At 52.0% G+C, this 25,466-nt stretch overlaps 1 protein-coding gene and 1 pseudogene across 5 annotated transcripts in view, besides 3 other annotated features; both read left to right on the top strand.

The window, feature by feature from the left end:
• The window catches only part of CHFR (checkpoint with forkhead and ring finger domains), a 55,263-nt gene extending 31,605 nt beyond the window's left edge, over positions 1 to 23,658 (top strand). For 3 of the 5 annotated variants that reach the window (NM_001161347.1, NM_018223.2, NM_001161344.1), the window contains 8 exon segments: positions 2,441 to 2,583; positions 4,277 to 4,396; positions 7,290 to 7,373; positions 7,859 to 7,929; positions 8,884 to 8,971; positions 11,880 to 11,987; positions 12,931 to 13,003; positions 14,418 to 15,662. In NM_001161347.1, the coding sequence (NP_001154819.1) occupies positions 2,441 to 2,583; positions 4,277 to 4,396; positions 7,290 to 7,373; positions 7,859 to 7,929; positions 8,884 to 8,971; positions 11,880 to 11,987; positions 12,931 to 13,003; positions 14,418 to 14,460 (730 nt within the window). In that variant the 3' untranslated portion in view covers positions 14,461 to 15,662. 5 annotated transcript variants of the gene reach the window in all.
• Positions 2,814 to 3,313: an enhancer, noted in NCBI's record as "H3K4me1 hESC enhancer chr12:133429287-133429786 (GRCh37/hg19 assembly coordinates)". NCBI's record gives its function as "activates a minimal SCP1, AML or CMV promoter by ChIP-STARR-seq in primed H9 embryonic stem cells {active_cell/tissue: H9 hESC(primed)}" and the evidence as "EXISTENCE:reporter gene assay evidence [ECO:0000049][PMID:30033119]".
• Positions 3,314 to 3,815: an enhancer, noted in NCBI's record as "H3K4me1 hESC enhancer chr12:133428785-133429286 (GRCh37/hg19 assembly coordinates)". NCBI's record gives its function as "activates a minimal SCP1, AML or CMV promoter by ChIP-STARR-seq in primed H9 embryonic stem cells {active_cell/tissue: H9 hESC(primed)}" and the evidence as "EXISTENCE:reporter gene assay evidence [ECO:0000049][PMID:30033119]".
• Positions 19,258 to 20,457: an enhancer, noted in NCBI's record as "BRD4-independent group 4 enhancer chr12:133412143-133413342 (GRCh37/hg19 assembly coordinates)". NCBI's record gives its function as "activates an origin of replication core promoter dependent on BRD2, P300/CBP, MED14 and CDK7 cofactors, and independent of BRD4, by STARR-seq in HCT116 cells {active_cell/tissue: HCT116}" and the evidence as "EXISTENCE:reporter gene assay evidence [ECO:0000049][PMID:35650434]".
• On the top strand, positions 20,514 to 20,640 carry RNU6-327P (RNA, U6 small nuclear 327, pseudogene; annotated as a pseudogene).

The following is a 25,466-nucleotide window of genomic DNA, read 5'->3' as shown; positions in this document are numbered from 1 at the left end:
GTTATTACAGAAGAGGCACCATCACCAGGCCAAGACAATCCCAGCCTCAGAGACCTTATTTATCTGCTGACATGTTGAGGTTTCCTAATGCACAAGACCGGGGTCTGAATGTTGGGTCGAGGCCATGATATTTAAAAAGACAATGAACGACAAAAAAAAACACTTGAAACTTTTATCTTTATTTCCTTTTGCCAAGTTTAGCATGTGACTGTTAAGCAAAAAGAAGGAAACCAAAACCACTTTAGCATTAAGATTTTGCTGCCTCTACCCAGCCATTCATACGTGTGTCATAATCGTTAACAAAATGAAATGTAATGTACTAACAAATTTTTTTTTTCTTTTTTTTTTGAGATGGAGTGTCGCTCTGCTGCCAGGCTGGAGTGCAGTGACACGATCTCAGCTCACTGAAATCACCACCTCCTGGGTTCAAGCGATTCTCCTGCCTCAGCCTCTCGAGTAGCTGGGACTACAGGCGCATGCCACCACACCCAGCTAATTTTTTTGTATTTTTAGTAGAGATGGGGTTTTACCACATTGGCCAGGATGGCCTTGATCTCCTGACCTCGTGATCCGCCGGCCTCGACCTCCCAAAGTGCTGGGATTACAGGCATGAGCCACTGCGCCCTGCCAATGGCACAATCTTGGCGCATTGCAACCTCCGCCTCCCGGGTTCAAGCGATTCTCCTGCCTCAGCCTCCCAAATAGCTGGGATTACAGGCATGCACCACCAAACTTGGCTAATTTTTTTTTCTTTTCTTTTTTTTTTTTTTTCGAGACAAAGTCTCGCTCTGTTGCCCAGGCTGGAGTGCAGTGGCATGACCTTCGCCCACTGCAACATTCATCTCCTGGGTTCAAGTGATTCTCCCGTGTTAGCCTCCCGAGGGGCTGGGATTACGGGCATATGCCACCACACCCAGCTAATTTTTGTGTTTTTAGTAAAGACAGAGTTTCACCATGTTGGCCAGACTGGTCTCGAAATCCTGACCTCAAGTGATCCGTCTGCCTTGGCCTCTCAAAGTGCTGGGATTATAGGTGTGAGCCACCGCGCCCGGCCGCTAATTTTGTATTTTTAGTAGAGACAGGGTTTCACCATGTTGGCCAGGCTGGTCTTGAACTCCTGACCTCAGGTGATTAGCCCGCCTCGGCCTCCCAAAGTGCTGGGATTATAGGCGTGAGAAACAAATTTATTTTTTGTTTGTTTGTTTTTTGAGATGGAGTTTCGCTCTGTTGCCCAGGCTGGAGTGCAGTGGCTGGATCTTGGCTCATTGCAAGCTCCGCCTCCCGAGTTCACGCCATTTTCCTGCCTCAGCCTCCCGAGTAGCTGGGACTACAGGCTCCCGATACCATGCCCGGCTAATTTTTTGTATTTTTGGTAGAGACTGGGTTTCACCGTGTTAGTCAGGATGGTCTTGAACTCCTGACCTCGTGATCCGCCCGCCTCAGCCTCCCAAAGTGCTGGGATTACAGGCATGAGAAACAAATATTTTTATGAAGCTGGGATTCGGCTGCATGTACAGCTCGGTAATGTCCCCAGCGTTTGAATTGGGAAACAGTTGCTGCTGTGCATTTCTTCCATCCGTATTTGTGCACATGCGCAGTGACGTCAATGTTTAGACGTGAAGCAGTCGAGTCACAGAGTGTGACTGGGAATTGGACCTTGATAGACGTTTGATAAGTTTGTTATCCAGACACCGATCGGAAAGGGTGCACCTAATGCACTCTACAAGGTCTGCATGAGGGCCTCTTTTTGCCAGTTTAGAAGGAGAAGTAGGTAATCTCATTTTCATTTACATTTTTTCCTTATGAAAAAAATGTCTTTTCACTGTGCCTTGTTTTTTACCTGGTTGGGTCTTACCTGTTGGCCTTATTGGCCCCTGGCCTTGGTGTGAGGCGCAGAAAAGCCTTTCAAATGGAGAGGAGAGCCTCGTGTATTTTTTCCTACAGGTTCTTTTTTTACAGTTGACATTTTTATCTGCTCGTTTTTGGAAGTACAAGGGAAGTGTGGAAAAGACAAGTGATTCGGGGCTTTGCAGGCGCCTGGTGTGGCTCCCAGTACGTTGCCCACCGCGCTCTGCTTTTAACGGGAGAGTAGGCGGGTCCTGAGGAGCACGGGGCGTGCGCGCACGTGCTGGCCCTTGCCCTGCTCTGGCGTCGTCTCCTGGGAGCACACGTCAGTGGGGACCTAGTGACCCTGGGGATGGGGCTCCAAAGCGTGGGGGCTGAGCTGGGGATGCAGAGTGGCGTGTCCTTGCCCTTCGACTCGTTCTGGTCCCTCTCTAACACTGGGGTGCTGGACAGGAATGGGGCCCGGCCCTTCCCCTCACACCAAGCAGCTGAGCGACGGTGGAGCTGAGCTGTGATGGCTGCGGACCCGCGTTGCACCGGCCCTACCTGAGAGGCTTGGGGCCTGCACACAGCTCGGCCCTGTGCTTCCTTGCAGCCAGCCATACGTCGTGTGCCGGCAGTGTCCTGAGTACAGAAGGCAGGCGGCGCAGCCTCCCCACTGCCCAGCACCCGAGGGCGAGCCAGGAGCCCCACAGGCCCTGGGGGATGCACCCTCCACGTCCGTCAGCCTGACGACAGGTGAGCCGCGCCGCCCTCAGGCCTCAGCCTTCGCGTGAGTCACTTTGTGGCTGTGCCCGGTGCTGACGTGCACGTGGCCGCGCTCTGCCCGCCTCCTGTCTGCACTGCTCGCCCCCTTTGGGCCCTGGCCTCATTGGTCTCCCTGCACTCACAGTTGGTTGCTTTTCGTGACTGATTTTGGGTTGGGAAATCAGATAAGTAACTGTTCATTCGTAGCCCCTCCTGAACACTCCTGGGAATTAACAACCCTGACCTTAATACTTGGCCTCTCCCCAGCCACTGCCTCAGGGCAGCTGATGTCCCCCAGTGGGTTTGCCAGACCCAAAGTGATGATCGCATATCTGTCCCTCAAGTAAGAGGCGGGCTTCTCCCCAGCAGTGGCGATGTCACCAGAAGCTGCCCTGCGTCACCAGAGTTGGCTTAATGCGAAATGTTTCCCCGTCAGGTGCCTTTTTCCAGCAAGGGGCTCCAGGTGCTATCCAGGAAGTCAGAGGAGAGCTGGGCAGGGGGTATGGAGGCTTCACTTCTCTGCCCTGCTCACTCCAGACTCATAGAATGGGAAGATGCCCTCAGGGGTCCTGGCTTCCTGGCCACGGGTGGGGGCTGAGCACATCACGAGGCCACTGGCCTGGGATGGATGTAGAGCCACATCCTTGTGCTGCATTCTCAGTGGCTTCTTGTAGAACCCGTGGACGGAACGGACAAAGCAGTGCTTGGCGTTGGTATGGATGCCCATCCACCAGCCTGGGTTTGCTTCCGCCACTCAGCAGCTCTGTCTGGGTCACTGGACAAGCTCCTTCCTTTGCATGGTGGGACCAGCGCCTCCCTCTGGGGTCCTGGGTCCCTCAGTGGGTGCTCAGTGAACCTGGGTGGTGAAATTGCCGTCCTTATGGCCGGCATGTTGACCTCGCAGGGTCTTTCCTGTGTGGGTGGCGAGTGTCCAGGGAACTTGGCTGTGTGGGCTCAGACTTCTGCTGCCACATCGATTGGTCTTGTGCACCGTGGCTGTCCTTTGTTTATTTGAGAGATGGCTGTTCTCTCACCTGAGCGGAAATTGAACACACAGCTTGTTTTATTCTATATCATAGGTTCTATGGGCTTGTCCTCTCTTTATAGGAAATAATAGAAAACCTTCAACAGATCGGCCGGGCACGGTGGCTCATGCCTGTAATCCCAGCACTTTGGGAGGCCGAGGCGGGCGGATCACAAGGTCAAGAGATTGAGACCATCCTGGCTAACATGGTGAAACCCTGTCTCTACTAAAAATACAAAAAAAAAAAAAATTAGCCAGGCGTGGCAGGCACCTGTAGTCCCAGCTACTCGGGAGGCTAAAGCAGGAGAATGGCGTGAACCCGGGAGGCGGAGCTTGCAGTGAGCCGAGATCACGCCACTGCAGTCCAGCCTGAGCGACAGAGTGAGACTCTGTCTCAAAAAAAAAAAGAGAACTTGCAACAGATCTTTGAAATCTTGCTCCAGCTGCTAAATCAAAGATCATTTTTGGTTATTGTTAATCTGTTTTGACTCCCCGAGTTTGGGTGGCAGAAGGTCCCCGGTGGTTTAGCAGGGCAGGTCTGCTTCTTCCCCGGCTGTCTCAGGTGCACCTCTCCTCGCTGTGCTTCCCGGCGGCCTCTCTAACCTGCTGTCTTTCTGCCCTGGGTCCCACGTGCTCCGGCTGAATGTGCGTGTGCTTCAGCAGTCCAGGATTACGTGTGCCCTCTGCAAGGAAGCCACGCCCTGTGCACCTGCTGCTTCCAGCCCATGCCCGACCGGAGAGCGGAGCGCGAGCAGGACCCGCGTGTCGCCCCTCAGCAGTGTGAGTGCCCGCGCCACCGCACGCAGGCGGGTTCCTATCTGTCCTTCAGGGGTCAGGTTTCAAAGCGGTGTTGGCCTTAGGGTAACCTGTGAAGTAAGGATGCCGTTTCTTTTTTTCCATCAGTGTGATCAGTTTTCCCCACGTCACCATATTGAATAATCTATCTTTTCCCACCATCTAGTAACATTGCCCCTTCACAGGCTACATCTCCATCCACCGGGGGCTCGGCTTGGATCTGTGTCTATCCCCTGCCAGCACTGTGGTTGCTTTATAATGTGTCACTGTTAAACCTCTTATATGAATGTTGATGCTTTAGTATACAACTCTGGCCAGGCACAGTGGCTCACGTCTGTAATCCCAGCACTTTGGGAGGCCAAGGTAGGTGGATCTTCTGTGTCCAGGAGTTTCAGACCAGCCTGGGCAATATGGTGAAACCCCATCTCTACAAAAAATACAAACATTAGCCAGACATGATGGTGTACACCTGTAATCCCAGCTACTCGGGAGGCTGAGGCCAAAGGATGGCTTGAGTCCGAGAGGAGGAGGTTGCAGTGAGCTGAGATCGTGCCACTGTACTCCAGCCTTGGCGACAGAGGGAAATCCTGTCTCAAAACAAAACATATATATATATATATATATATATATATATATATGCACACACATACAGTTATTATTAAAAATGGAGCTTGTCCTTTATTTCATGGCTGTTTTAATGTATTCCTGCAGAAATGTCTGTCTATGTCCTTTGCCTTTTTTTTATGACTTCCTAATTTGTCAGAGCTTCTTATATGTGAAAGTGTTAGGTGAAGAAAGCCCTAGCCCTGTTGAGCACCGCGGTTGGCTCCTGCCGCACACACCGGTGTTGCTCTGTGCACTGAGCCCTGTGTGAGCAGCACACAGGACCACAGCACTGGTTCTGTCTGGAATGGCTTAAAAATGTTCTGGGCACTCAGGAAACCAAACAGGTTACTGCTGGGGTCTGTACCCTGAGACTGGGCTTGGCAGGGGTGGGGCCTAGCCTGCAGCGTCGGGACACATGGCCGTGGGACACACCCGGTGATCTGGGCGGTCGCTGCCTCGGGGGTCATCCACGGCAGGCGCTGGCCACTGCTGATGCTGCACGTGGGAGGGCAGGTGAGAAGCCACAGAGAACAGCTTGTCCCATGTCTCACACACGCGGTGGTCAGCAGATGGCAGCTCGGCCCAGCTTTTCCCCAGGAATCCAAACTCTTCACTCTAATTTCACAGAGCATGCTTCGTATATAGAGGCATTGGTGAAGTGGTCGTAGGCGTTATAAGACTTAAGGACTCAATCCTGTGAGAATTTTAGCGAGGGTTTACCTAACATTATATTTTAGGGATTTCCATTGTATAGAATATCAGACAATTAAAAATAATTTCCTTTGGGAGGCTGAGGTGGGTGGATCACGAGGTTAGAAGATCAAGACCATCCTGGCTAACATGGTGAAATCCCATCTCTACTAAAATTACAAAAAATTAGCCGTGTATGGTGGCGGGCGCCTGTAGTTCCAGCTACTTGGGAGGCTGAGGCAGGAGAATGGCGTGAACCCGGGAGGCAGAGGTTGCAGTGAGCCGAGATGGCGCCAGTGCACTCCAGCCTGGGTGACAGAGCAAGACTCTGTCTAAAATAAATAAATAAATAAATAAATAACGTCTACAAAGCCAAGGTGACAACATGGAAAAATACCTAGGTAGAAAAAGGCCACCTAGGCTGGGCATGGGCTCACGCCTGTAATCCCAGCACTTTGGGAGGCCAAGGCAGGCGGATGACCTGAGGTCAGGAGTTTGAGACCAGCCTGACCAACGCGGTGAGACCCCATCTTTACTAAAAATGAAAAAATTGGCCAGTTGTGGGCATCTGTAATCCCAGCTACTGGGGAGGCTGAGGCAGGAGAATCGCTTGAACCCAGGAGGCGGAGGTTGCAGTGAGCCGAGATTGCTCCACTATACTCCAGCCTAGGCCACAGAGCAAGACTCTGTCTCAAAAAAAAAAAAAAGCCACCTGAATATGTGCAGTTGGGGGCAAGCATGTTGCATGTTCAGAGCTAGAATGAAGCCCATCGAAGCCGTGTTAGGGTGGTGGAGCAGGTGAGATTTCTTTCTTTTGTGTCTCTCACTGTTTTCCTGGGATGAGCATGTGGTGTTCAGTTTAAGAAACGATGTGGGTCTGAGGCCGGGTGCAGTGCATCACGCCTGTAAATGTTCAGTTTAAGAAACGATACGGGTCTGAGGCCGGGTGCAGTGCATCACGCCTGTAAATGTTCAGTTTAAGAAACGATACGGGTCTGAGGCCGGGTGCAGTGCATCACGCCTGTAAATGTTCAGTTTAAGAAACGATGTGGGTCTGAGGCCGGGCGCAGTGCATCATGCCTGTAATCCTAGCGCTTTGAGAGGCTGAGGTGGGAGGATCCCTTGAAGCCAGGAGTTTGAAACCATCCTGGGCAACATGGTGAGACCCTGTCTCTACAAAAATAAAAAATAAATTAGCCGGGCCTGGTGGTGTGCACCTGTAGTCCTAGCTACTCAGGAGGCTGAGGTGGGTGGATCCCTTGAACCCAGGAGGCGGAGGTTGCAGTGAGCTGTGATTGTTCCCCTGTACTCCAGCCTGGGCCACAGAGCGAGACTCCATCTCTAAAAAATAACAAACCAGAAAATGTGAGCCTCGCCTTTTTTCAGGGATACAACTCCTCGCCATCACAGTCCATCACAACCTGGGTGGCGTTAGCTGGATGTGGCCCCGCCCCGATTTCCATGAGACCCCTCCTGAACAATGTTTCCAGAAAGAGTTGAGCTCCTGAGCCTGGTGCTGACGAATTGTGTTGGAGACAGCCCTCAGCGCTGAGTGCGTGTAACGAGTGTCCTCTCTCCACAGGTGCGGTCTGCCTGCAGCCTTTCTGCCACCTGTACTGGGGCTGCACCCGGACCGGCTGCTACGGCTGCCTGGCCCCGTTTTGTGGTAATACTGGCTCTTCAGGCCCCAGTTGCTTTGACCTTTGCATGTTCTCTTGGTGAACTTGAGGGCAGGGGATGGTGGGGTCCATAGCCTGATGTTTATAGGGATGAGGCCACTGTTGGTCATCAAATGATACCTATTCCTGGCTGGACTGCAGAGGTGTGTCAAATTCGTGTTAGCTCAAAATCAAGCCTTAACAGAATTATTAGGGGAGATACTCCCAGGACAGAATCCTTGCAGCGGGGTTCTGCTGTTACGATACCAAGACCAGGTGCTGGGGAGACTCGGAGAGCTGATCTTTTTAAGGAGGGAGTGGAATGGAAATCATTTCTGCTTGTCCTCTGTTTAAAATTGAGTTTTATCATTGAACTTCTTATTCTTTCTAGAATCTGTAATGAAAAGAAATATGTTTATCCTCAGTGTCGGGCAGACAGTGCTTTCCTGCGACATCATTATAAACAGGTAACATTGCCCCTTCATCTCGGCAGAGCTCAACCTGGGTGACAAGTGTCTGGACGGCGTGCTGAACAACAACAGCTACGAGTCAGACATCCTGAAGGTACCGACTCGCTGCGGGCTGGGGAGCCGGGAGCCACATTTTCTCCCTAGTGCAGCCAGCTGGTTCTCTGCATTCTATTGGTGTTTATCTGTTTTACCTGACCCGCTGCGGGTTGGGGAGCCGGGAGCCATGTTTCCTCACTGGTGCAGCCAGCTGGTTCTCTGCATGCCATTGGTGTTTGTCTGTTTTTTCCGTATTCCAAAAATAGGTATTTCGTTTTTGTGCCTCCTGCCACCAATTCGTAGGAGCCGCTTCCCGCAGCTCTTGTTCCCGGCAGCTCTTGTTCCCACAGCTCTCGGTGAGGGCTTCTTGAAGGTGCCGCCCTTTAGCAAGACCAGGGCCTTTTCTCTGGTCCCTGTCTCTTCTGGCCATTTGCCTTCCCACGTCTAGGAAGCTACCTCGGTTTCTAGGATTTACATATGTTTAACATGCGCATTCGCCCTCCTGCCGAGCACTTTGCTGACAGCACACACAATGGTGGGGCCTTGAGGCTTGCCACAGACACACCTGGCAGGCGCCCGCTCAGCCCCACACTCTGCTTTGATGCCCACAGAAGGAGCTCAACAGCTCGTGTGTGTTTGAAGGGCACAGAGAACAGATGCCAAGTCCTCAGCTTTTCTTGTGCAACAGCCTGGGCTCGTTGCTGGGCTGTGTGCACTGTGGCCTGGCTTTCATGTCTCATTCACACCTGGGCTGTGTAGGTCTTGGCAGAACTTTTGAGAGACTCTGGTAACTGTTACACTGGAACCTTTTGGGACTTCCAGGAGGCTCTTGGACAAGACTTCTCGTGCTGCAGGCCGTGAACGTGCAGCCCTCTGCAAATGCCACTTATAAGGGTCTGAGCTTTGGCTTTGCACACTTTCAGGGGCCTTTTATGAAATGTTTTCTCTCGTTATTTCAGTGTTTCTTCCTCTAAACGAGTATTTCTTATTCCTCTCTTTTTTTGCGTCACAGAATTACCTGGCAACCAGAGGTTTGACATGGAAAAACATGTTGACCGAGAGCCTCGTGGCTCTCCAGCGGGGAGTGTTTCTGCTGTCTGGTGAGTTCTTCTGTTGCCTCCTGCTCTAAGGCGCATGTGAGTGTCCAGGGCTGTGCCTGCGTGTCTGCTCTCCCAGTGACAACTCCGACCTTCACCCACCCTGGAAGAGAGGAAAAAGATCCTGATGCTTTCAGGTTGTTTTTGTTTGTTTGTTTGTTTTTTGAGATGGAGTCTCGCTCTTGTTGCCCAGACTGGAGTGCAGTGGCATGATCTCAGCTCAAGGCCCCCTCGGCCTCCTGGGTTCAAGCGATTCTCCTGCATCAACCTCCTGAGTAGCTGGGATTACAGGCATGTGCCACCACACCCAGCTAATTTTGTATTTTTAGTAAAGATGGGGTTTCCCCATGTTGGCCAGCCTGGTCTTGAACTTCTGACTTCAGGTGATCTGCCCACCTCAGCTTCCCAAAGTGCTGGAATTACAGGCGTGAGCCACTATGCCCGGCCTTCAGGTTGTTTTTTGAAAGTTGAGCGTGGGCCGGGTGTGGTGGCTCACGCCTGTAATCCCAGCACTTTGGGAGGCTGAGGCGGGCGGATCATGAGGTCAAGAGATTGAGACCATCCTGGCTAACACGGTAAAACCCTGTCTCTACTAAAAAAAGAAAAATACAAAAAATTAGCCGGGCGTGGTGGCGGGCGCCTGTAGTCCCAGCTACTCGGGAGGCTGAGGAAGGAGAATGGCGTGAACCCGGGAGGCGGAGCTTGCAGTGAGCCAAAATCACGCCACTGCACTCCAGCCTGGGGGACAGAGCGAGACTCCGTCTCAAAAAAAAAAAAAAAAAGACAGTTAAGCATGAACCTGTATGACATATTCCAGCAGCTTCTATCCTTGTAGGGGAGGGTGGGTGTGGCCGACTGCCACTACTGCTGCTTGAGACCCTCACTACAGCAGTTACTGCTGTTACTGCTTGAGACCATCATTACAGGACTGAACAAAGGGACAAACGTAGAAATGAAAACAAAAAGACAAAAGAAACTTTTAAGGAAAGGCAACATGGGGAAGAAGAGGAGAGCTCCCTGCTTCTAGTGAGTAAAGGCTGCCCCTGAGCTTCTACAGCCCTTCATATTTATTGGGTAACAAGAGCAAGGAGGAGGTAACAACTGGGCAGCTGCTAAATTGATCACAGGTTCATACTGTTACTGACAGGCTTCAATTATGCCTAATCATAAGAAACATTTGTGTGGCCTCCAACAGGTGGGGCCAGCTTGGAGGGTCTCTACCACTTGTCTATCCAGAGGTCCTGGGGTCAGTTGTCCTGGGACCCTCGGGGACTTGGTGAATCTCTTGCTTGATGTGTCAGTCACTTGGTGAGGGTCACTCCTCTCCAGGGGGGCACACGATGCTTTGTGGAGTATGATAATTTATCACTAAGGGAGGCTGTAGAAATATATATATGAGACAGGTTCTTGCTCTGTCGCCCAGGCTGGAGTGCAGGGGCATGATCACAGCTCACTGCAGCCTCGACCTCCTGGGCTCAAGAGATCATCTCACCTCAGCCTCCCAAGTAGCTGGGACCACAAGCGTGTGCTACCATGCCTGGCTAATCTTAGTTTTTTTATTTTTATTTATTTATTTATTTTTTTTTTTGAGATGGAATCTTGCTGTGTCACCCAGGCTGGAGTGCAATGGCACAATCTCAGCTCCCTGCAAGCTCCGCCTCCCAGGTTCAACAATTGTCCTGCCTCAGCCTCCTGAGTAGCTGGGATTACAGGCACCCGCCAACATGCCCAGCTAATTTTTTTTTTGTATTTTTAGTAGAGGTGAGGTTTCACCATCTTGGTTAGGCTGGTCTCGAACTCCTGACCTTGTGATCCGCCTGCCTCGGCCTCCCAAAGTGCTGGGATTACAGGCGCGAGCCACCGTGCCTGGCCGATATCTTTGTTAATTAAGGGTATAGCACATTTTCATTTGTGTTGCAAATGTTTCCACTATAGTAGTAGTTCACTTTTGTTGTATTTATTTTAATTTTGATGTTTAAATTGTAGATAGCCAAATGTACAAATCCTTTCCTCTGTGCAATTTGGTTTTCAAGACATACTTAGAAATAGCTAATTTTCTCATTTTCTTCTTGTTTTTTGGGAGTTTTAATATTTAAATTTTATATCCATGTGGGGCCGGGCGTGGAGGCTCACGCCTGTAATCCCAGCATTTTGGGAAGCCGAGGCGGGCGGATCATCTGAGGACAAGAGTTTGAGACCAGCCTGGCCAACATGGTGAAACCCCATCTCTACTAAAAAAGTATAAACATTAGCCGGGCACGGTGGCACACACCTGTAGTCCCAGCTACTCGGGAGGCTGAGACAGGAGAATCAGTTGAACGCAGGAGGTGGAGGTTGCAGTGAGCTGAGACCCCGCCACTGCACTCTAGCCTGGGCGACAGAGCAAGACTTGGTCTCAAAAAATAAATAAAATAAATGTTATATCCACGTGGGATTGTTTTGCTGTAAGAAAATAAATTGGTGGCCGGGCGCAGTGGCTCACGCCTGTAATCCCAGCACTTTGGGAGGCCGAGGCGGGTGGATCACGAGGTCAGGAGATCGAGACCATCCTGGCTAACACGGTGAAACCCAGTCTCTACTAAAAATACAAAAAATTAGCCCGGTGTGGTGGCGGGCACCTGTAGTCCCAGCTACTCAGGAGGCTGAGGCAGGAGAATGGCGTGAACCCGGGAGGCGGAGCTTGCAGTGAGCCGAGATCGCACCACTGCACTCCAGCCAGGGCGACAGAGCGAGACTCCGTCTCAATAAAAATAAATTCGTATCTAGATTGGCTTTGTTCTTATTTTCCTAATGTGTCGCCCGTTGTCTTCACCCCATTTATGGTCAGTGCGTTAGTCTCCCACTGCTGTGAAGTCCGTGCGCTGCTGTTGGGAAGATGGTGTTGCTGGGTAACTGGCTGTGTTTCTTCCAGATTACAGAGTCACGGGAGACACCGTTCTGTGTTACTGCTGTGGCCTGCGCAGCTTCCGTGAGCTGACCTATCAGTATCGGCAGAACATTCCTGCTTCCGAGTTGCCAGGTAAGGAGCCCCCGACTTCCTCATGGCTCTAGTTCTGTCTGGGTTGGCTTCTTGGCTTCTGCCTCTCTTTTTTTTTTTTGAGACAGTTTCGCTGTTTTTGCCCAGGCTGGAGTGCAGTGGTGCAATCTCGGCTCACTGCAACCTCTGCCTCCTGAGTTCGAGCAATTCTTCTGCCTTAGCCTCCTGAGTAGCTGGGATTACAGGCACCCGCCACCACGCCCGGCTAATTTTTTGTGTTTTAGTAGAGACGGGGTTTCACCATGTTGGCCAGGCTGGTCTCGAACTCTTGACCTCGGCCTCCCAAAGTGCTAGGATTGCAGGCATGAGCCACCACGCTCGGCCAGCACTCTTTTCTTTACAGACACCCTGTTTGCACTTTGCTCAATGTTCTAAGCAGAATTTGGCCTCAGTCAGGAGCCGGCAGGACGTCAGGCCATACAGGGCTGTGGTTGTTTTAGGCCCTGGGTCTATTTGCAGTTACTCATGAGTGTAACGTGGGTTTCTAAAACAGATTTGTAAAGACATCCAATAGTCAACTGGGGTAATTTTATTTCCTCAATTGGGTTTTTATTTTTTAATTTTTATTTATTTATTTATTTTTGAGACAGAGTCTGACTCTGTCGCCCAGGCTGAAGTGCAGTGGTGTGATCTTGGCTCACTGCAACTTCCCTCTCCCAGGTTCAAGCGATTCTCCTGCCTCTGCCTCCCAAAGTGCTGGGATTACAGGCATGAACCACTGTACCTGACCCTCAGTTGGGTTTTTAGTTAAACATGTGTTTCCTTTCCTGAAATCTCAGAACGGTCCGAGGAAACTAGTTATGGAGGGACCAGAGGCCGTGCGTTTCCACCGCAGCGTCTGTCGTTGGGTCTCTGCTGGGATTCAGGTAGCTGAGTGGGTGCGTGCAATACATCTCATAGATGCGTACCCCTTCTCTTTTTCCAGTGGCCGTAACATCCCGTCCTGACTGCTACTGGGGCCGTAACTGCCGCACTCAGGTGAAAGCTCACCACGCCATGTGAGTGCAGCTGGGGGCACAGGCGTCAGCTACAGAGTGATGAATGAGTTAACTGCCTGCTTATAAATAGGCTGATATGGTCATTATGCTTCTCTCAGGTTGCATCCTTTAGGAACCGGTATCTTCATTTAGAAATCCTGCTCTTCCTTTATCCCTTCGTTTCATGCAGTTTTATCTCCGTCTTCCACTTCTGTGTCTTCCTGGCTGGAGTAGCTTTATCTGTTGTCTGAGGCATCCGGGGCACACCCCATCATTTCAGGCTTAGCCGTTTCTAAGTCGAAGGCTGCAGTCACTGAGGGCCTCAGGCCCCCCTCGCAAAGCGCTGCACAGCTGGGTTCTCGTCCGTCCCGTGAGCAGGCATTTGTGATTGCTGTCACATCGTCACCCTCACGTGGTGTCTTTCCCGTGCTCCTTAAAGGAGGTTCACAGCGCCATCTGCATTGCCCTGGGAGGCGTAGGTCAGGAGGCATCTCTTAGGTTAGGTGATCACGTAAATCACTCCTGTGGCCCAAGGAGTTCAGATTAAAGTGATGGAGACAGTGCCCTCAGGACGAGATGTTGTGTGGACTCAGAGAAAGGCGCCTCCCTCACAGGGATTTTGTGGAATAAAAACCTTGCTTTGTGTTTGAGCACAAACAGCACATGGAAGAGACCATGTTGTTACAAAAAGAGATTTCACTGTTGACTGGCAGACAGTTTTCAGTAGAAATGTGCAGCCATGCTGGTCCTCCTTGCCCACAGTCTGTGGAGAGGGAAGGTGGCCACAGGCCATCCAGCTTGGTGTGTCTGCCTCAGCCCTGTCAGCAGATGCCACGGGGATGCCTGAGGAGGTGCAGCTTTTATTCTCTTCTCTAAAAAAATTATCTAAGATGTTTGCACTTCTTTTTTTTTTTTTTTTTTTTGAGATGGAGTCTCGCTCTGTCTGCCAGGCTGGAGTATAGAGGTGTGATCTCAGCTGATTGCAACCCTGCCTCCCAGGTTCAAGCAATTCTTTTGCCTCAGCCTCCCGAGTAGCAGGGACTACAGGTGCTCGCCACCACATCAGGCTAATTTTTTAAATATTTTTAGTAGAGATGGGGTTTTACCATGTTGGCCAGGCTGGTCTCGAACTCCTGACCTCAAGTGATCCGCCCGCCTCGGCCTCCCAAAGTGCTAGATTACAGACATTAGCCACTGTGCGTGGCCAGATGTTTGCACTTCTGTTTCAAAATTTTTAAAGGGATAAAGAAGTTTACCTTTGGGGGTTAGTTTCTTTGATATTGTGAGAAGCACACACACTCTTTCTCAGGTAGCTCTTTCTGTGTATGGTTTCCGAATGCGTTTATTTGAATGCCTTTCTGATGCTCTGTTGTGTAATTTATTTGATTGCCTCTCCAATGCTCTCTTGTGTAATTTGGCCATTTTCTCCCTGCAGGAAATTCAATCATATCTGTGAACAGACAAGGTTCAAAAACTAAGCATCCAGAGGCCCTGAGCAGCTTTCAGCACTGGAGGTGAAGAGAGCGTGTTTTTAAAATACAGAGACAAGCACGTCAAGGTGTTTTCACAGCCCCCTGAGGGAAGGGACGCAGGGTCTCCGACAGGTGCTCTGGGGTGACTCTTCTGTGGAGCTTTACCCTCTGAGTGAGACCCTCCCCAGAGCCCCGGGGGCCGCAGCCCGCCCTCCTGGTGAGCGCTGGGCAGGGCTCGTGGTGGCATCAGCAGCAGAGACGAAGCCTTTCTGTAACATGCGGCCGTCCCGCCGAGAGGGGCAGTTTTGCTCTTTTGTACATTTTCCGAAACTACAGTTAAAGCAGAAGTCTGTTTTTAGGAAAAGTTTCAAGGGAGAAGGGCAAGTTTATCAAAAACATTGTTTCAGGAGAAGGGAGCATAAGTTTACAGCCTACAGGACGTACACAATATCCTGCTGCTGGGAAAACCACAGCATTTTATCTATTTTTTATTTTAATAGGTTTGGTGCTTATCTTCTAATAAGATTTAAATGTCACAAACTGTAGCACAAATAATATAATTTATAATTTACAAATTGACTAAAATTGGGTATAGTATGGTATTTGAAAGAATAAGCATATGCTTCTGTTTATTAAAAAAAGAAACCTTCCAATGTCCAAAACTGCTAACCCTCGACGTGGCCGCCAAGTTAGTCGCTCCTTGCTAACCGGTGAGTGACCGCGGCCCCGAGCCTGGGGCTGGACGCAGGTCCCAGGACATGCTGCTCCCTTGTGTGAGTGACCGCGGCCCCGAGCCTGGGGCTGGACGCAGGTCCCAGGACGTGCTGCTCCCTTGTGTGAGTGACCACGGCCCCAAGCCCAGGGCTGGAGGCAGGTCCCAGGACGCGCCGCTCCCTCATGCTGCCCGGGCCCTTCCTCCAAGACCCTACAGAGCCTGAGGGGCACCTTGGCTTCCGCCTGTGCTAGCTTTGCCATGTCATCTGGAATAATACTTGAAATTTTGATTTTTGGAAAAAAAAGTTTTTTATCTTTTGTTGAAATCACCTGTTATCCTTGTTTGTAAACTGATAACTTTTTTGCTTCTTCTCAGGAATACAGTTTTCAACTGTTGTCTTGCTCTTGATAGAAACTGAGAAGCAGCAATCTGTATTTGTGGAGGAAAGTCCTCTCTTTTGCATATTCTAATAAATGAGCCGCGTTTGCTCCTCCGCTCTCGTGTTGGGCTCGTGTCTGGGGCTGCCTCACTTCCCCATGCGAGGGAGGCAGGCCCCATGCAGAGTGAGCTCCGAGTGCCTCACTGCTAGTGATGGTCACTCTGTCACCTGCTGTCCCTCAGTGACTCCTGTGAAACCTGCTCAGGTCTCTTCATTCTGCCAATGCTGGGAAGCCACAACCTGTTCATCCAGTGTGGAGGCTTTGTCTTCAGCTGAGCACCAGAAGAAGCCACAATGCAGAGACCCTGAGTTTGTGCAAGGGTGGGGCTGAGAGGGGAGGTCCCGTGTTAGTGCAGGGGTGAGGCCGGGAGGGGAGGTCCCGAGTTTGTGTAGGGGCGAGGCTGAGCAGGGAGGTTCTGAGTTAGTGCAGGGGCGAGGCTGAGCAGGGAGGTCCCGAGTTAGTGCAGGGGCGAGGCTAAGGGGGAGGTCCCAAGTTTGTGCAGGGGTGAGGCTGAGCAGGGAGGTCCCAAGTTAGTGCAGGGGCGAGGCTGAGAGGGGAGATCCCGAGTTTGTGCAGGGGCGAGGCTGAGAGGGGAGGTCCCTAGTTAGTGCAGGGGTGAGGCCGAGAAGGGAGGTCCCAAGTTTGTGCATGGATGAAGCCAAAAGGGGAGTTTGCACGTTTGTGCAGGGGTGAGGCCAAGAAGGGAAGTCTTGAGTTGGTGCAGGGGTGAGGGAGAGGGGAGGTCCTGAGTTTGTGCAGAGGCGAGGCTGAGAGGGGAGGTCCCTAAGTGCAGGGGTGAGGCCGAGAGGGGAGGTTGCAAATTTGTGCAGGGGTGAGGCCAAGAGGGGAGGTCCTGAGTTAGTGCGGGGGTGAGGCCGAGAGGGGAGGTCCTGAGTTTGTGCAGAGGCGAGGCTGAGAGGGGAGGTCCTTAGTGCAGGGGTGAGGCTGAGAGGGGGAGGTCCCAAGTTTGTGCAGGGGTGAGGCCGAGGGGAGGTTGCAAGTTTGTGCAGGGGTGAGGCCAAGAGGGGAGGTCCTGAGTTAGTGCGGGGGTGAGGCCGAGAGGGGAGTTCCTGAGTTTGTGCAGAGGCGAGGCTGAGAGGGGAGGTTGCCAGTTTGTGCAGGTGCGAGGCTGAGAGGGGAGGCTGGCATTCGCCAATGAAGTGGGCTGGGGCTACCCTGCGTCTGTGTCTTAGAGAGATCGGTTGATACTCACTCTTCCCCTTCCCATCTCCAAAAAGTAGAAACAAGAACACTTGCCCTGTAGAGGATGCTGGTCTTTCCTCAGGACCAGCTGCACCTGTCCAGGAAGGGCAGGCAGCTCAGAGAGCCTCTGGGCTCCAGGTGTCCTAGGGACTCACTCCTGCTTCCTTAGTCCTTCAGAGAAGTCCAACTCCTGGCCCACTGTGAAGAGGATTTCTACCTGGAGCAGTCGGAACAGCTTGGGTTTGGCTGTGATGTGAGGGAGGAGGCCTTGGGAGCAGGGCAGTTATCCTCCCAGCGTGGTAAGGAGCCGTGTTTTATGGAGGCAGGGAGATCAGGGCAGTTACTCCTCGGGTGTGGTAAGGAGCTGTGTTTTATGGAAGCAGGTGGCCGTGAACTCATTCCGTCTTTTCATGAGCTTCTGTACTTCCTCGTCCTCAAGACCCAGCCATCCCACCCAGCAAAACTGACCGGCTGTGGTGGTTTTGGAGCCCTGCTCTCCTTGTGGGGTGGCTGCGTGGGTCGTCCACAGGCTTTCTGGAGGACAGCCTGGTGCTGCTGCAGATCCCACTGCTTCTTCCTGGCTCCTTGGCCCAGCCTTGGGACAAACCCAGGGCAGGGCTGCAGCTGCCCGCTGGCCCCACAGACCGTCTCCCCACGCACTCCTCATCTGCGGCTCCCTCTGTGCTCCCTGGTGCCCCTCAGAAGCGGGGGTCAGCCCTGCCCACCCCTCCGTGTGCTGCCCAGGCTCCAAGCCAGGGAAGGGGGCCTCAGGTTCTAGGTGAACCCGTCCACCCCAGTGAGGCCTCTCTGGGATGGCCTCTGTCATAGCTTCTGACTGCAGCCAGGAAGTCTGGGCAGATTGGCTTAAAACAGACTGAGGGATTCAGGCCAACCCTCCTCCCTAGGCCAGCTACAAAGGCTGTTTTAAATCTGCTTTAAGTCATCTTAATGACCTCAGGGCCAGCAGGATGGGAGTGGTCGGGCCCAGGTGTGAGAGCCGGGGTCCAGGGGCTGCTCCCAGCACCACACGGCCTTCACCCCAGGGGTGTGGCCAAGGCAGAGAGGCAGCTGAGTTTGGAAGGGGCTTCCGCCAGCAAGGGTTTCCTGGTGACAGCCCCCCAGCTTCGGGCTGGCAGGCTGGGAGAGTGGAGCAATGCTGGCCCTGAGGCAGCTGCAGCCGGCTCCCTGAAGAGGCCCCAGAGTCACTGCCAGGGCCGCTAGGTTGCCGGGAGCCCTGCACTGGGAAGGGAAGGAAAGCATGAGAACGGAGGGGATTTAGGAAAGTAGATCGTCCCTCCAGCCTGGCTTGATGGGGAAACCAGAACGCTGTCCCCGCGGCCGTGCCCGCCCTCTGCCTCCACGTGGGCTCCGTTTTGGCATGCACGCTAGCTCCTGCGCCTTCTGAGGGCGGCTGCAGCCGTGTAGAGAAGCCGGGTCTTGCCTCCCTGAGGACGGAGGGCCGCATGCAGAGCACAGCCTAGCCCTGCAGATCCGCGCGCTGACCAGCAGCAGGACGGAGCCGGGTGATCTTCGGGGGAGCCACCTCCAGAAACGCCTAGTGCTGGTAACTGGTAGACAGCCATTATTCAAGCATCCTCTACACTTAGAATTGAGTTACACTGAAAACAAAGGTGATGAGTGCTCAGGACGCACTACTTTCTAGTTAGTTTACCGCACCTGCCTGTTACCTGCAGGCCCGAGGGTGTGTGCTTCTGTGGCCTGTGTGGGATGGCACCCCTTCCAGCCTTACCCACTCAGCTCAGTTGGCCTGGTTGGAATGGGCCCTGGGAGGAGTGTTTGCACTGTGGAAATTGGTAAATGCTTCAAATCAGGGTGGTTTTTAATTTTGCTTTTGTTTTCTTCTGAAGAGAAGGTTGTTAAACACCAGCACAGTGCTGCACCAGGCAGCCAGCATATAATCATGAGAAATAAGTAGTTGTTTAAGCCACTGCATTTGGGGTGGTTTATTACATAGTAATGATAACCATATCATGGCCCTTGAAGGCCCAGCATGTATGACCCCTGCCTCCACCCCTCAGAAAACCTCTTCTCCCTACCTGCTTCTCCTGGAGCCCCTCAGGTGTTCCTCTGCTTCTCCACCGAACCAGCTAATTCTCACAAACAGCCCCTCAGGTACCAGCCCCTCCCTCTGCAGCCTCTCCTCATTCAGCTCCTGCAGGGCTGCCCCCACCCCGCCAGCCAGTCTAGTTTCCCCCCAGCACCTGTCACTATCGGAAAGGAAACATCTGTTTACCGTTTGTCTCCCCCTCTCAAAAAAATAGAGCAGGGATCTTGCCTGTCTGCCCACTGTTGTTTATTTGTCTGAAATGTTTGGCCCCAGGGCAGCATCTACTGATCACTGACCAGTTGGCTACTGAACGGTGAAGGTCTGATGAGCTGATGAGCCGTCCCCTGGGCTTGAAATCTTTCCCGCGGCACAAACAGGCGCCCCTTCCTCTGTCGCTCACTTTTCACGGTTGTCTCCTTCTGAGGCGGTGAGTCTAGATGGTGGGGTCTTAAAGTTCCTCACACAGAGCAGACACTTGGTCGTGCATGTCTGTGGAAGGAATGGACTCAGGAGAGAATGTTGAAGGCCAGTCAGACCAGGAGTGAGTGCCGTGCGCCGTGCTGGGAGCCTGTCACTGTGAGTGCCGTGCGCCGTGCTGGGAGCCTGTCACTGTGAGTGCCGTGCGCCGTGCTGGGAGCCTGTCACTGTGAGTGCCGTGCGCCCTGCTGGGAGCCTGTCACTGTGAGTGCCGTGCGCCGTGCTGGGAGCCTGTCACTGTGAGGGCCGAGCGCCGTGCTGGGAGCCTGTCACTGTGAGGGCCGTGCGCCGTGCTGGGAGCCTGTCACTGTGAGGGCCGTGCGCCGTGCTGGGAGCCTGTCACTGTGAGGGCCGTGCGCCGTGCTGGGAGCCTGGCACTGTGAGTGCCGTGCGCCGTGCTGGGAGCCTGGCACTGTGAGGGCCGTGCGCCGTGCTGGGAGCCTGGCACTGTGAGTGCCGTGCGCCGTGCTGGGAGCCTGTCACTGTGAGTGCCGTGCGCCGTGCTGGGAGCCTGTCACTGTGAGTGCCGTGCGCCGTGCTGGGAGCCTGGCACTGTGAGTGCCGTGCGCCGTGCTGGGAGCCTGGCACTGTGAGTGCCGTGCGCCGTGCTGGGAGCCTGGCACTGTGAGTGCCGTGCGCCGTGCTGGGAGCCTGGCACTCTGAGTGCCGTGCGCCGTGCTGGGAGCCTGTCACTGTGAGTGCCGTGCGCCGTGCTGGGAGCCTGTCACTGTGAGTGCCGTGCGCCGTGCTGGGAGCCTGGCACTGTGAGTGCCGTGCGCCGTGCTGGGAGCCTATCACTGTGAGGGCCGTGCGCTGTGCTGGGAGCCTGGCACTGTGAGGGCCGTGCGCTGTGCTGGGAGCATGCATTTGTGAGACCCGCCCTGCCCAGTGCTGGCCTTGAATGTGGGTCCACTTGGGCCGCTGGATCAAAACGCCGCAGAACAGGCGGCTTAAACAACAGAAAGTATTTTCTCACAGTTCTGGGGCCTGGAACTCTGAGATCAGGGTGTCAGCGGGGCCGGTTCCTCTTTGGTCTGTCTCCTTGGCTCGTGGGCAGCATCTCCTTGAGTTCTCACGTCATCTTCTCTTCATGCGTGTTTGTGCCCTAATCTCTTCCTGCGAGGACACCAGTCCTATTGGATTAGGGCCCACACCAGTGGCCTCATTTTATCTTAATCACCTCTTTAAAGACCACACCTACTAAAACTGGAACGATATAGAGAAGATTAGCATGGCCCACGTGCAGGCATGACACCCAAATTCATGACGTGTTCCATGTCTGCAGATACAGTCACCTCTGAGGTCCTGGGATTTAGGGCTTGAACATATTGTAACACTCTGCCATCAAAGCTCGCACGCCACGGGGTTTTATAAAAATTGGGTGGTTTTGTTTGTTGTTGTTTGGCAAACCCCACATGCTGGATACCATTGACACTCCGTGGTGGGCTGAGCCATGTCCCCGTCCCGCCACCACAGATACCCGTATCCGATCACTTGAGCCTGTGATGATGTTGCCTTGCACCGTAAAAGGGGCTTTGCAGATATGGTGGAATTAAGGACCTTGAGATGAGGGGAGGATCCTGGATTAGCTTGTGGGCCCTCTGTGCAACAGTAGGAGTCGTTGTAAGAGGGAAGCAAGAGGCCGGGCGTGGTGGCTCACGCCTGTACTCCCAGCACTTTGGGAGGCTGAGGCGGGCGGATCACGAGGTCAGGAGATCGAGACCATCCTGGCTAACATGGTGAAACCCCGTCTCTACTAAAAAATACCAAAAAATTAGCCGGGCGTGGTGGTGGGTGCCTGTAGTCCCAGCTACTCGGGAGGCTGAGGCAGGAGAATGGCTTGAACCCGGGAGGCGGAGCTTGCAGTGAACCGAGATCGCACCACTGCACTCCCGCCTGGGCGACAGAGCGAGACTCTATCTCAAAAAAAAAAAAAAAAAAAAAGCAAGCAAGAAGTCAAAGGCAGGAAGAGGAGGCTTGGTGACAGAGAAGAGGTGGGAGGGATGTGCTTTGCAGAGGGAGCAAGGGCCTCCAGCCAGGAGAGGAGGGCAGGCTGTCGAAGCAGAAAAGAAAACAGATCTCCCTGCAGGGCCACCAGAAGGAACCAGCCCTGCCTGCCCCTTCATTTTGGACTTCCGAGCTCCAGAACTGCAAGAGAATAAATCTAGTTTAAGCAGCAAAGTTGGTGGTAACTTCTTAGAGCAGCCACAGGAAGCTCACTACCCCCCACACACTCATCCCGTTTGGTTTTTGTTTTCAGGAAGGGTCCAGTCTGTCTCAGAGGTGCTGTGGTTGGAGGTGGAGTGTGGGGCATGGCTGAGCACCCAACATCCGCTTCACCCTCTCCCCTGCTCCCCAGCACGTTCCTTCACCCTGTAGCTCTAGGTCTCTGTGGCAGACACTCAGCTCTAACTGCTGACCTGATGGCTCCACTTGGTGTTCAAACATCCCAGATTCATGTTGTCAAAGAGAGCTGTTTCCAGTGGGGACCCCAGGCCCACCACGTACGCCCGGCAGACCTGCCCTCTCCACTGTCAGAAGATGGCATGGCCTCCCTGTAGCTCAGGCCCAACCCCAGGAGTCATCCTGCTGGCTGTCCTCAGTGCCCCAGGCTTCTCTTCAGGGGCTTCTTGTGGCTCTGATTGTTGCCCCCTCACCTCACTGCTCTTCTCCCAGATCTGTGCGTGCATTGGTCCTCCTTGTCACGCACGTTCAGCTCAAATATTACTTCCTCAAAGGTGCCTTTGAGTACTCGTTCTCCTTGCCTTTCCCTCTCCTGGGACACTGTTCCCACCAGTACCTGCATGATTCCTTTTTTTTCTTTTCCTTTTCTTTTTTTGTTTTTGAGACAGTGTCTTGCTCTGTTGTCAGGGCTGGAGGGCAGTGGCGCAATGTCAGCTCACTGCAGCCTCCACCTCCTGGGCTCAGATGATCCTCCCACCTCAGCCTCCTGAGTAGCTGGGACTACAGGTGCACACCACCACACCCAGCTAATTTTTAGTAGAGAGCAGGGTTTCACCATGTTGCCCAGGCTGGTCTTGAACTCCTGAGTTCAAGCGATCTGCCCGCCTCTACCTCCCACAGTGCTGGGATTCCAGGCGTAAGCCGCCACGCCCAGCAACTCCGTTTCTTACTTGTTGGCTCACATTCTCCTGAGAAGTCCTCCCTCAACCATCGGCCTGAAATAGCAGCGAGCCTCCCCAGGGTTGCCTCTGCCTTTTCTTGACTCTTTCTGTCACCTTCTATGCTTGTTGTCTGGTCCCCACTAGAATATACCTTCTGTAAGAGCAGGGATTTGGGACAGTGCCTAGAATAGTACTTGCAGACAGTAGGCTACGATAAATATGAATGACGGCCCCATGCAGATGGTAGCCCCTCTCGCTCGAACGCTTCACCCAGTTTTATTTTCTTTTCATCAGTTACCGCCCTCTGAAGGTATCCACACACAAACATGAAACTGGACCAAAGCAGGGACCCCCCGCACGCAGAATAGTGCTGGGCTCGCGTAAGGCACCTCAGTGGGTCCATCAGCTGATGCATGGACAGACAAAATGGGTGTATCCAGACACTGGAGTATCGTGCAGCGAGGAAACGTGCTGAGTGTGGATGGACCTTAAACACACCATGCAAGTGAAAAGGCGTCACAGAAGGCCACATACGATATGATCCCATTTCTATGAAATGTCCAGAAGAGGCACATTCATAAAGACAGAAGGTGACTGAGTGGTTGTCGGGCTGGGTGGAGGGGATAGGGAGTGAATGCAAGAAGGATCCTTCTGAGGTAACGGAAGTATCCGGAAACTGGGTTGGAGTGATGGGTGCACAGCTCTGCACATTTACTACAGTCGCTGAACTGCACACACAACACGGGTATATTTTATTGCATAGAAATTGTATTAAAGCTGTTAAGAATTTTACTTAGATTAGCATTTTTCCCACACTGTGCCATCAACTTAGTATATGATTAGATTCATTGTTTCTAACTGTATTTAAATTTAATGTTTGTCACATTTTGCTTGCTAAATTTTTAAAATTTTAAATTACTGTGGGTACATAAAAGGTGTATATATTTATGGAGTACCTTGATATTTTAATACAGACATACAATGTATAATGATCAACTCCCAGTAACTGGGGTATCCATCACCTCAAGCCTGTATCATTTCTTTGTTAGGAACATTCCAGTTCCACTCTTTTTGTTATTTAAAAATATACAATACATTATTATTAACTATATTCACCCTCCTGTGCTATGGAATACTAGATCTTATGCTAATTAAATGTTTTCCCTATTTCTCCCATTGGCTACACCTTAGGATAGTGCAATATGAAAATCAGGAAACTGAGCTTGGTGGAGTGTTTTCTTCATTCTGTCATTTTATCACATGAGGACATTCACGTAACCACGGTCACAAAATACAGAACAGTTCCATCACCACAAAAATCTCTCTCCATCTACCCCTTTTTAGTCATCCGAACCCCACCACCACTCTATAATGCTGTCATTTTGTGACATAAGTGGACACATCGTACAGTTCATGCAGTGTAGACCTTCGGAGATGTTTTCCTCCCTGGATGTAATGCCTTGGAGCTTCGTCCAAGTTATTGCACACATCAGTGGTCAGCTCCTTTTTATTGCTGAGTAGTGTCCATGGCATGGGTGGTCCACGGTTTGTTTCACCACGTCAGAGTGGCATGGGTGGTCCATGGTTTGTTTCACCACGTCAGAGTGGCGTGGGTGGTCCACAGTTTGTTTTGCCACGTCAGAGTGGCGTGGGTGGTCCACGGTTTGTTTCACCATGTCAGAGTGGCGTGGGGGGTCCATGGTTTGTTTCACCATGTCAGAGGACATTTTGGTTGTTTCCAGTTTGGGGTCAGTAATGTACAGGCTTTTGTGTAGACATAAGTTTATTTCTCTGAGTTCAATGTCTAGGAATGCAGTTGCTGGGTCATAAAATTGTTTACTTTTTGAAGAAACTGCCCAACTATATTCCAGAGTGGGTGCACTATTGCTGTTCCCATCAGCAATGTATAAGAGATTAGTTACTCCAGAATACATTATTCCCAGCATTTCATATTGCCACTGCTGTATATTATTTCAGCTGTTCTAATAGGTGTATACTAATATCCCAAGGCAGTCTTTTTTTTTTTTTTTTTTTGAGACAGAGTCTGACTGTGTCACCCAGGCTGGAGTGCAATGGTGTGATCCCAGCTCACTGCAGCCTCCACCTCCCAGGTTCAAGCGATTCTCCTGCCTCAGCCTCCCAAGTAGTTGGTATTACAGGTACCTGCCACCATGCCCAGCTAATTTTTGTATTTTTAGTAGAAGCAGGATTTCACCATGTTAGTCAGGCTGGTCTCGAACTCCTGACCTCAGGTGATCCACCTGCTTCGGCCTCTCAAAGTGCTGGAATTACAGGCTTGAGCCACCGCGCCTGACCTCAAGATAGTCTTAATGTGCATTTCTGTAATGGCTAGTGATGCTGAACCTGGTCACAAGCTTATTTGCCACTCATATATCCTTTTAGTGAAATGTGTTTTCATGTTTTTTGCTTGTCTTCTGTTTGTGTGTGTGTATGGTTTTTTTTTTTTTGAGATGGAGTCTCATTTTGTCACCCAGGTTGGAGTGCAGTGACACAATCTCAGCTCACTGCAACCTCCGCCTCCCAGATTCAAGCAATTCTTGTGCCTCAGCCACCCAAATAGCTGGCATTACAGGTGTGCGTCACCACGCCTGGCTAATTTTTGTATTTTTAGTAGAGACAGGGTTTCTCCATGTTGGCCAGGCTGGTCTCAAACTCCTGGCCTCAAGTGATTTGCCCCCTTAGCCTCCCAAAGTGCTGAGATTACAGGCATGAGCCATTGTGCCCAGAATAATTGTATTTTTTTTTACTGTCAAGTTTTGAGAGTTCTTTATATATTCTAGCTACTAGTCCTTCAACAAACGTGGTTTGAAAATATTTTCTCACAGTCTGTAACTCATCTTTTCATCCTCTTAATGTGGTCTTTCTCACAAGGTTGGTTTGTTTGTTTTGAGATGGAGTCTCGCTCTGTCGCCCAGGCTGGAGTGCAGTGGCACGATCTCAGCTCACTGCAACCTCTGCCTCCC

The sequence above is a fragment of the Homo sapiens genome, chromosome 12 (assembly GCF_000001405.40).
Source record: "Homo sapiens chromosome 12, GRCh38.p14 Primary Assembly".
In the NCBI taxonomy this organism is placed as follows: domain Eukaryota; kingdom Metazoa; phylum Chordata; class Mammalia; order Primates; family Hominidae; genus Homo; species Homo sapiens.
The sequence above is the reverse complement of the archived record's forward strand: the minus strand, read 5'-3'. Positions and strand labels throughout refer to the sequence as shown.